This window comes from Homo sapiens, chromosome 2 (genome assembly GCF_000001405.40).
Source record: "Homo sapiens chromosome 2, GRCh38.p14 Primary Assembly".
Taxonomy (NCBI): Eukaryota; Metazoa; Chordata; class Mammalia; order Primates; family Hominidae; genus Homo; species Homo sapiens.
In genome coordinates this window covers 108,692,708-108,704,446 of record NC_000002.12, presented here as the reverse complement: position 1 = coordinate 108,704,446, position 11,739 = coordinate 108,692,708, and the positions used below count along the sequence as shown (strand labels likewise).

The window sequence follows — 11,739 nt, the reverse complement described above, 5'->3', positions numbered from 1 at the left end:
ATGGAAAAGGAGGAACTAGGTGGTAAGGAAACAGGTGCACAAAGTGGTGATTACTTTTTAAAAAATATATAATTGATACAGTTATTTTCAGTATATAATCATATAGAAAAGTTGCCCATTTGGGGGGTGTATAGTTCTTTTTATTTTTTTTTCTTCTTTTTTTTTGAGACGGAGTCTCACTCTGTTGCCAGGCTGGAGTGCAGTGGCATAATCCCAGCTCACTGCAACCTCCACCTCCCGGGTTCAAGCGATTCTCCTGCCTCAGCCTCCTGAGTAGCTGAGATTACAGGCACGCACCACCACGCCCAGCTAATTTTTGTATTTTTAGTAAAGACCGGGTTTCACCATGTTGGCCAGGATGGTCTCGATCTCTTGACCTTGTGATCCACCTGCCTTGGCTTCCCAAAGTCCTGGGATTACAGGTGTGAGCCACCACACCCAGCCAGGGAGTGTATAGTTCTACAATTTTTTTTTTTTTTTTTTTGAGATGGAGTCTCGCTGTGTCGCCCAGGCTGGAGTGCAGTGGTTCAATCTCAGCTCACTGCAACCTCCACCTCCTGGGTTCAAGCGATTCTCCTGCCTCAGCCTCCTGAGTAACTGGGTCAGCAGGCATGCACCACCATGCCCAGCTAACTTTTGTATTTTTAATAGAGACAGAGTTTCGCCATGTTGGCCAGGCTGGTCTCAAACTCCTGACCTCAGGTGATCCACCCACTTCGGCCTCCCAAAATTCTGGGATTACATGTGTGAACCACCTGCCCAGCCAGTTCTACAAATTTTAAGACACCTATGTCCAGATTCATGTAACCACTACCACGGTAAGGATACATAGCAATTCCAACATTCTAAAAACTCATTCATGTTATTACTTTATAGTTATATCTTCCACTCACCCCCTTACCACTGATTACACACTATATACCATATAAATGGAATTATATGTTATGTAACCTTTTGATACAGGCTTCTTTCACTCAGCATAATGCCCTGGAAATTCATCCAAAGTTGCTGCTTGTAGAAATAGTTTTTGTTTTCGTTGCTGAATAATATTCCACAGTATGGATATACCACTCATACATTTACCATTTGTAGGACATTTGGGTTGTTACCAGTTTTTGGTGATTATGAATAGAGCTTCTGTAAACATTTGTATAGAGGTTTTTCAATGGACATAGTTTTAATTTTTCTAGGACAAGGGTCAACAAACTATAGCCTGTGGGCTGGCTGCCTGTTTGTTTTTTTGTGTTTTTTTTTTTTTTTTTTTTTTTTTGAGACAGGGTCTTGCTCTGTCACCAGCCTGGAGTGCAGTGGCGCAATCGCGACTCACTGCAACCTCCACCTCCCGGGTTCAAGCGATTCTCTTGCTTCAGCCTCCCGAGTAGCTGGGACTACAGGCGCGTGCCACCATGCCTGACTAATTTTTTTGTATTTTTAGTAGAGACGGGGTTTCACCGTATTAGCTAGGATGATCTCGATCTCCTGACCTCATGATCCGCCCTCCTTGGCCTCCCAAAGTGCTAGTACTATAGGCATGAGCCACCGCACCCAGCCTTTAATTTTAATAAAGCTCAACTTAGCCATTATTTTCTATTATAACTCATCCTTTTGGTGTCATGTCTAAGAACTCTTTGCCTGACCCCAGGTCAGTAAGATTTTCTCATATGTTTTACACTCATATGTTTACATATTTTCTCATATGTTTGTAAATTGATTTGTAAAATCAATTTACAAAGATTGCTGTAGCACCTTTGTAAATATCAAATGCCCATATTAGTGTGGATTTATATCTGGACTATCTATTTTTTTTCATTGATTTATGTATCTATCTCTTTTCACATACCTCGCTTTCTTGATTACAATAGCTTTTTTTTTGGAGACAGGGTCTTATTCTGTTGCCCAGGCTAAAGTGCAGTGGTGCAATCTAGGCTCACTGCAGCCTCTGCCTCCCAGGTTCAAGCAATTCTCCCACTGAGTAGCTGGGACTACAGGTGGGCACCACCATGCCCATCTAATTTTTGTATTTTTTGGTAGAGACAGGGTTTCACCATGTTGGCCAGGCTGGTCTCAAACTTCTGACCTCAAATGATCCACCCACCTTGGCCTCCCAAAGTTCTGGGATTACAGGTGTGAGCCACTGCGCCTGGCCTACTATAGCTTTATAATAAGGTTTAAAGATGGTAGTGTGATTCCTTCAAGTTTATACTTCTTTGTCAAAATTGTTATCACATTCTAGTTCCTTTGATTTTCCACCTACATTCTCTAATTTAATTATCTATATCTATGAAAAAATCTGCTAAGAACTTGGTTGGAAATGTGTTTGATCTATAGATCAATATGGGGAGAATTGTCATCTTTACTGTGTCTTCCAGTTCACGGGAATGGTATGTCTCTCCATTTATTTAGATCTTCTTCAGTTGCATCAGTATTTTGTGGTTTTGAGCGTATACATCCTGTACATGTTTTGTTAAGTTATAACTTCTGTTTTTATAAAGCTAATGTAGATGCTATTTTTTTTTTAGATTTCAGCTTTAAATTGTACATTGCTGGTATAGAGAAATACAACCTTGTATCCTGTGACATTGCTAAACTTACCTGTTCTAGGGGATTAATTGTAAATTCTTTGAGATTTTACACACAGACAGTAATGTTATCTGCGAAGAGGGACAGTTTTAGATCTTTCTTTCCAATCTGTATGACGTTTATTTATTTATTTATTTTTTGCCTTATTTCAACATCTCAAACTTCTAGTACAATACTGAATAAGACTGGTGTGAGAGGATATTCTCTCCTACTTAATGATAAAAGTCTTTTTGATCTTAAGGGGAAAGAGTTTCACTGTTAAGTAGGTCATTAACCACCATGCCTGGCTATTTTGTTTTTTATTTTTTAATTTTTAGTAGAGATGAGGTATCATTATGTTGTCCAGGTTGGTCTCAAACTCCCTGGCTCAAGCGATCCTCCTGTCTTGACTTCCCAAACAGCTGGGATTACAGGCTAGAGCCTGGCTCGCCACAGATATTTATAGATGCCTTTATCAGCTGTGCCCGGCCAGCCACAGATATTTATAGATGCCTTTATCAGATGGAGGAAATTTCCTATTCCTAGTTTGCTGACAGATTTTATCATGAATGGACATTGAATTATGTCAGATGCTTTTTCTACATCAATTGATATGATCATGTAATTTTTCTTCTTTACACTGTTAATATGACTACATTGATTTATTTTAAAATGTTATACCATCCAGCCGGGAGCGGTGGCTCATGGCTGTAATCCCAGCACTTTGGGACGCTGAGGCGGGTGGATCACCTGAGGTCAGGAGTTCAAGACCAGCCTGGCCAACATGGTGAAACCCTGTCTCTACTAAAAATACAAAAATTAGCTGGGCATGGTGGCAGGCACCTGTAATCCCAGCTACTCAGGAAGCTGAGGCAGGAGAATCGCTTGAACCTGGGAGGCGGAGGTTGCAGTGAGCCGAGATCGCGCCACTGCGTTCCAGCCTGGGGGCAAGAATGAGACTTTGTCTCAAAAAAAAAAAAAAAATATATATATATATATGTTATACCATCCTTGAAAGTCCCAGGATAAACCCTATTTGGTTGTGATGCATTTGTTTGTTTATTGTGGTAAAATACACATAGCATAAAACTTACCATTTTAACTGTTTTTAAGTGTACAATTCGGTAACATTAAGTTTGTTCACCATGTTGTGTAACCATCATCAATATCCATTTCCAAAACTTTTTGATCATCTCAAATAGAAACTCTGTGCCTAATAAACAATTACTCGCCACTCCCCACTCCACAAGCCCCTGGTAACCCTAACTCTACTTTTTGTCTTTATGAATTTGCCTACTAGCATTTTTTTTGTTGCTTTGTTTTGTTTTTTGAAACAGGGTCCTGCTCTGGCGCCCAGGCTGGAGTGCAGTGGCATGATCTTGGCTCACGGCAACCTTCGCCTGCTGGTTTCAAGTGATTCTCAAGCCTCAGCCTCCTTAGTATCTGGGACTACAGGTGTGTGCTACCACACCCAGATAATTTTTGTATTTTCAGTAGAAATGGGGTTTCGCCATATTGGCCAGGCTGGTCTCTAACTCCTGGCCTCAAGTGATCTGCCTGCCTCAGCCTCCCAAAATGCTGGGATTATAGGCATAAGCTACTGTGCCCGACCTTGTGGCTTTTAATGACTGAATATGTATTAACATTTTATAAACTACTTGATTCAATTTGCAATTTTTTTTAGGGTTTTCGCATCTAATTTCATGAGGAATATTGATATTTTCTAATTTCCCTTCAGACATTCTCTTTGATACATAGATTAATTTAGAAGTCTATTGTTTAATTTATAAGTGTTCAGGGATTCTCCTATTGTTTGTCTTATTGATTCCTGGTCTACTTTTGTTATGGTCAGAGAACATACCTGGCATGATTTCACTTCATTTAAGTTTGTTAAGGTTTGTTTTATGACCCAGGATATAGTCTATCTTGGTGAATGGTTCTATGTGCACTTGGAAATAATGCATAGTCTGCTGTTTATGGGTAGAGTCTTCTCAAAGTTCAATTAGATCTAGTTGGCTAGTGGTGCTGTTTAATTCTCCTCTTCTTTGCTGATTTTCTTTTTCTGTTTTTTGTTTTTTTGTTTGTTTGTTTGTTTGTTTGTTTTGAGGCTGAGTCTTGCTCTGTCGCCCAGGCTGGAGTGCAGTGGCACGATCTCAACTCACTGCAAGCTCCCAGGTTCACGCCATTGTCCTGCATCAGCCTCCCAAGTAGCTGGGACTACAGGCGCCCGCCACCGTGCCCGGCTAATTTTTTGTATTTTTAGTAGAGATGGAGTTTCACTGTGTTAGCCAGGATGGGCTCGATCTCCTGACCGTGTGATCTGCCCACCTTGGCCTACCAAAACGTTGGGATTACAGGCGTGAGCCACTGTGCCCGGCCTTCTTTGCTGATTTTCTAATAGTTCTATCAATGATTGAGACAGGAGTATTGAAGTCTCCAGATATAATTTTGGGTTTGTCTATTTGCTTTGAGAATTTTGAAGCTGTGGTGTTAAGACGCAAACATATTTAGGATTGTTATGTCTCCTTGGTGAATTAACTATTTTATCATGATGTATGATCCTTTTTTGTCCCTAATGGTTTTCATTGCTCTGGAATTTGCTGTGTATGATATCAACATAGCCACACCAACTCTTTTGATTAATATTTCCATGGTATATCTTTTCCTTTCTTTTTTTTTTTTGGAGATGGAGTCTTGTTCTGTCACCTGGGCTGGAGTACAGTGGCGTGATCTCAGCTCACTGCAACCTCCACCTCTCAGATTCAAGTGATTCTCCTGCCTCTGCCTTCTGAGTAATTGGGACTACAGGCAACACCACTACACCTGAGTAATTTTTGTGTTTTTGGTAGAGATGGGGTTTCGCCATGTTAGCCAGGCTGGTGTAGAACTCCTGACCTCAAGCGATCCACCCGCCTCGGCCTCCCAAAGTGCTGGGATTACAGGCATGAGCCACTCTGCCCGGCCTCTATTCTTTATTTTTAACCTACATATATAATATTTAAAGAAAGTTTTGGCTGGGTATGGTGGCTATTGCTTGTAATTCCAGTGCTTTGGAAGGCTGAGGTGGGAGGAATGCTTGAGGCCAGGAGTTTGAGACTAGCCTGGGCAACTTGGTGAGCCCCTGTCTCTATAAAAAAACAAAACAAAACAAAAAACTAGTCAGATATGATGGTACATGCCTGTAGTCTTAGCTACAGGGGAAGCTGAGGCAGGAGGATTGCTTGAGTCCAGGAGTTGGAAGCTGCAGTGAGCTATGATCATTCCATTGCACTCCAGTCTGGGCAACAGAGCAAAACCTTGTCTCTAATACATAAATAAATAAATGCAAAACATTTTTTTAAAAATGAAAAAAATTTAAAAAAATAAAGCAAGTTTCTTGTAAATAGCATATGGCTGGGCACTGCTTTTATCCATTCTGACAATGTCTTTTAAGATTTAGGTTTAGTCCATTTATGTTTACTGTAATTATTTATGTGTTTGGATATATGTCTACCATCTTATTTTATTTTATTTTTTGAGACAGAGTCTTGCCCTGTCACCCAGGCTGGAGTGCAGTGGCGCCATCTCAGCTCACAGCAACCTCCGCCTCCCAGCCTCAAGTGATTCTTGTACCTCAGCCTCCCAAGTAGTCGGGATTACAGGCGTGTACCACCACGCCCAGCTGACTTTTCTATTTTTAGTAAAGACAGGGTTTCACCATGTTGGCCAGGCTGATCTCAAATTCCTGGCCTCAAGTGATTCACCCACCTCAGCTTCCCAAAGTTTTGGGATTACAGGTGTGAGCCACTGGGCCCAGCCGCATCTTATTACTTTTTTTTTTGCTCCATTTTTTATCCTTCTGCTTACCACTTTTCGCCTCCTTTTTGGTTATTTAAATGATTTTTAGCGTTCTGTTTTAATTCATATATTGGTTTTGAATATATCTCTTTGAATAGTTTTTTAAATGGTGACTCTAGGGATTACAATGCACTTAATTTTTCACAGAATGAACATATTACCACTTAAGTGGAAGGTAGAAATCTTACAGCTGGATAGGTATTTTTACCTTTCCCTCTTTATATTATAGATGTTTTCTATTACATTTACATGCATTGTAAACTCCACTAATGTTAAAATTTTTGCTTTTGCTTTCTTTTCTTTCTTTCTTTCTTTTTTTTTTTGAGACAGAGTTTTGCTATTGTTGCCTAGGCTGGAGTGCAATGGCGCAATCTCGGGTCACTGCAACCTCCTGTCCCAGGTTGAAGTGCTTCTCCTGCCTCAGCCTCCCAAGTAGCTGGGATTACAGGCATGCGCCACTACTCCTGGTTAATTTTTGTATTTTTAGTAGAGACGGGGTTTCTCCATGTTGGTCAGGCTGGTCTCAAACTCCCGACCTCAAGTGATCTGCCCGCCTTGGCCTCCGAAAGTGCTGGGATTATAGGTGTGAGCCACCACGCCTGGCCTAATTTTTGCTTTCAACCATCAAATGTATTTTTAAAAACAATAATGGATAGATCCACTAGACAGGGATCATCAAGAAAATACAAGACTTCAACAATGGTTTAAACAAGCTAGACCAAATAGACATCTATAGAAAATTCCACCTAACAATATCAAAATACACATTCTTCTTAAGTGCACTTGGAACACTCTTTAGCATAACCCATATGCTAGAGCATAAGAAAAACTTCAATGATTCTTTTTTCAATAAGCCTTTTGTACTCCTAAACCCTCAATAAATTTAAAAGAATTGAAATCATAAAGCATATGTGTTCTGACCAGAATGGAATGAAATTAGAAATCAACAACAGAAATTTGAGAAATTTACAAACATTTGGACATTAAACAACGCACTTCTAAATAACCAATGAGTCAAAAAAGAAATCACAAGGGAAACTGGGTGCGGTGGCTCATGCCTGTAATCCCAACACTTAGAGAGGCTGAGGCGGGCGGATCACAAGGTCAGGAGATCGAGACCATCCTGGCTAAAACGGTGAAACCCCGTCTCTACTAAAAATACAAAAAAAAAAAAAAAAAAAAAAAATTAGCCAGGCGTGGTGGCAGACACCTGTAGTCCCAGCTACTCAGGAGGCTGAGGCAGGAGAATGGCGTGAACCCAGGAGGCGGAGCTTGCAGTGAGCCGAGATCGTGCCACTGTGCTCCAGCCTGGCTGACAGAGCGAGACTCCGACTCAAAGAAAAAAAAAAAGAAAAGAAAAAAGAAATCACAGGGGAAATTAGAAAGTACACAGGAAATGAGAAGAAATCACGACGTGAAATTAGAAAATTAGAGAAATTTGAGATGGATAAATGAAGATACAACATACGAAAACTTATGGGATACAGCTAAAGCAACATTAAGAAGGAAATGTATACCTGTAAAGACTATATTTAAAAAAGAATGACCTCTAAAAAGCAAGTAATCAAAGCATACCACTACAGAAAGTCATTGAATCATAAAGGAAGACAGTAAGAGGGGAAGAAAGGAACAAAGGATCTATAAAACAACTAGAAAACAATTTTTTTTGAGACACCGTCTCACTCTGTCACCCAGGCTGGGAGAGTGCAGTGGCACACTCTTGGCTCACTGCAACCTCTGCCTCCCAGGTTCAAGCAATCCTTGTGCCTCAGCCTCCCGGGTAGCTGGGACCACAGGTGTGCACCACCTCATGGGACTAATTTTGTATTTTTAGTAGAGACAGGATTTCACCATGTTGGCCAGGCTGGTCTCGAACTCCTGGCCTGAAGTGATCTGCCCACCTCGGCCTCCCAAAATGCTGGAATTACAGGCATGAGCCACTGTGCCCATCTGGAAAACTTTTTTTTTTTTTTTTTGAGATGGAGTTTCACTCTTGTTGCCCAGGCTGGAGTGCAATGGCATGATCTTGGCTCACGACAACCTCCCCGCACCGGGTTCAAGCGATTCTCCTACCTCAGCCTCCTGAATAGCTGGGGTTATAGGCATGTGCCACCACGCCTGGCTAATTTTGTATTTTTAGTAGAGACAGGGTTTCTTCATGTTGGTCAGGCTGGTCTGGAACTCCCGACCTCAGGTGATTCGCTCACCTCGGCCTCCCAAAGTGCTGGGATTACAGGCGTGAGCCACTGCGCCCAGCCAGGAAAACAATTTTTTAAATGACAGTGGTAATCCTTACCTATCAATAATTACCTTGAATATCAGTGGACTTAAAAAAAAGACCTCAAATCAATAGCCTGGGAAAAAAAAAGAGCAAACCATGCTTAAGGCAAGCAGAAGGAAGGACAAAAAGGTCAAAGCTGAAATTAGTGAAATAGAAACTAGAAAAACAATAGAGACCTTAACAACAACAAACATAAGTGAGCAAAAGGCTGGACTAGACATTTTTCTAAAGTTGATACAGAAATGTATAAAAAGCGTGAGAAGGCCGGGCGCGGTGGCTCACGCCTGTAATCCCAGCACTTTGGGAGGCCGAGGCGGGCGGATCACGAGATCAGGAGATGGAGACCATCCTGGCTAACACGGTGAAACCCCGTCTCTACTAAAAATACAAAAAAATTAGCCAGGCGTGGTGGCGGGCGCCTGTAGTCCCAGCTACTCGGGAGGCTGAGGCAGGAGAATGGCGTGAACCAGGGAGGCGGAGCTTGCAGTGAGCCGAGATTGCGCCACTGCACTCCAGCCTGGGCCACAGAGCGAGACCCCATCTCAAAAAAAAAAAAAAAAAAAAAAAAAAGCGTGAGAAAAGATGCTTAGGCTGGGTGCGGTGGCTCATGCCTGTAATTCCAGCATTTTGGGAGGCCAAGGCACGGTGGATCACTTGAGGTCAGTAGCTCGAGACCAGCCTGGCCAACGTGGCAAAACCCCATCTTTATTAAAAATACAAAAATTGGAATTTGCACCAAAGCAGCAGCTGCATTCCCACAGTTCGATCTTCACCTTCACGATGTTTCGCTTGCTCAAAAAATGCAGTAAGTCATCTCCAAGATCAAAGCATTCAGCAAACAATGGCAAGGCAGAGCCACCAGAAAAGTACACCTGATTTTCATGACAATACGATAATGCTGTATTAGCTAGTGGAGCCACTTTCTGTATTGCTATATGGACATATGTAGCAACACAAATCAGAATAGAATGGAACCTGTGCCCTGGTGGCAGAGTCACCCCAAAGGAATGGAGAGATCAGTAATCATCCCAGCTGGTGTAATAATGAATTGTTTAAGAAACAGCTCATAATTGATGCCAAGTTAAAACACTGTGTACCCATTAAGATATGGCATTATTGAAGAAATAAAGTACATTTTGAAACCCTCAAAAAAAAATACAAAAATTAGCCGGGCATAGTGGCAGGCACCTGTAATCCCAGCTACTTGGGAGGCAGAGGCACAGAATAGCTTGAACTTAGGAGGCAGAGGTTTCAGCGAGCCAAGATCCCAACACTGTACTCCAGCCTGAGTGACAGAGTGAGACTGTGTCTCAAAACAAAAACAAAAACAAAACAAAAAATGCTCAACATTCCTAATCATCATTAGAGAAATGCAAATCAAAATCACAAGGAAATATTATCTTACACCCATTAGGATGTCTACTATCAAAAAAGCAGAAAATCACAAGTGTTAAAGAGGATGCACAGAAATTGGAGCCTTTGTGCAATGCAAAATGGTGTAGCTACTACCAAAAACAATTTGATGGGGTCTCAGAAAAGTAAAAATAGAATTGCCATATGCACTTCTGGACATATATCCAAAAGAATTGAGAACAGGGTCTTTTTTTTTTTTTTTTTTTTTTTTTTTTTTGAGACGGAGTCTCACTCTTTCGCCCAGGCCGGACTGCAGTGGCGCGATCTCGGCTCACTGCAACCTCTGCCTCCCGGGTTCACGCCATTCTCCTGCCTCAGCCTCCGGAGTAGCTGGGACTACAGGCGCCCGCCACCCTGCCCGGCTAATTTTTTTGTATTTTTAGTAGAGACGGGGTTTCACCGTGTTAGCCAGGATGGTCTCAATCTCCTGACCCCGTGATCCGCCTGCCTCGGCCTCCCAAAGTGCTGGGATTACAGGCGTGAGCCACCGCGCCCGGCGGAGAACAGGGCCTGTAAGAGGTATTTGCACATCTGTATTTATAGCAGTATTATTCACAATAGCCAACACGCAGAAGCAGCCTAAATGTCCATCAACAGATGAGTGGAAAAACAAAATGTGGTGTATACAAATAATGGAGTATTACTCAGCCTTAAAAAGGAAAGAAATTCTGTTACATGCTATAACATGGAAGAACCTTGAGGACATCATGCTAAGTGGAATAAGCCAGTCGCAAAAATACAAATACTGTATGCTTCCACTTATATGAGGTATCTAAAGTAGTCAAATTCACAGAAACAGCAAATCAAATGGTGGCCATCAGAAACTAGGGGGAGGAGGAAATGGAGAATTGTTGTTTCATGGGTATAGATGTTCAAGTTTTAAAAGATAAAGTTGGGCCAAGTGGTGGCTTGTGCCTGTAATCCCAACACTTTGGGAGGCCGAGGTGGGAGGATTGCTTGAAATCAGGAGTTTAAGAGCAGCTTAGGTAACAAAGCAAGACTCTCTCTTTACAAAAGAAAAAAAAAATTAACCCAGCTCAGTGGTACGCACCTGTAGTCCCCAGCTACTTGGGAGGCTGAGGCAGGAGGATTGATTGAGCGCAAGAGTTCGAAGTTGCAGAGACCCATAATCGCACCACTGCATTCCATCCCAGGTGACAGCAAGATCATGTCTCAAAATAATAAATAAATAAATAGAAATAAAAGATGAAAACTTTCTGGAGATACATTGCACAGCAACATAAGGCTACTGCATTGCACACTTGAAAGTGGTTAAGTTGGGCCGGGTGCGGTGGCTCACGCCTGTAATCCCAGCACTTTGGGAGGTCGAGGTGGGCCGATCATGAGGTCAGGAGATCAAGACCATCCTGGCTAACAACGTGAAACCCCGTCTCTACTAAAAAAATACAAAAAAAAAATTAGCTGGGCGTGGTGGCGGGCACCTGTAGTCCCAGCTACTCGGGAGGCTGAGGCATGAGAATGGCGTGAACCCGGAAGGCAAGCTTGCAGTGAGCCGAGATCACGCCACCGCACTCCAGCCTGGGTGACAGACTCCATCTCAAAAAAAAAAAAAAAAAAAAAGGTTAAGTTGGGCTGGGTGCGGTGGCTCACGCCTGTAATCCTAGCACTTTGGGAGGCCGAGGCGGGCA

At 42.2% G+C, this 11,739-nt stretch overlaps 1 pseudogene across 1 annotated transcript; it reads left to right on the top strand.

Moving 5' to 3' along the window:
- On the top strand, positions 1-9,813 carry LOC107985802 (cytochrome c oxidase subunit 7B, mitochondrial-like; annotated as a pseudogene). The gene is made up of 2 exons (XR_007088647.1): positions 1-22; positions 9,439-9,813. The product of XR_007088647.1 is annotated as a cytochrome c oxidase subunit 7B, mitochondrial-like (transcript).
- Positions 9,814-11,739: the final 1,926 nt, after the last annotated feature.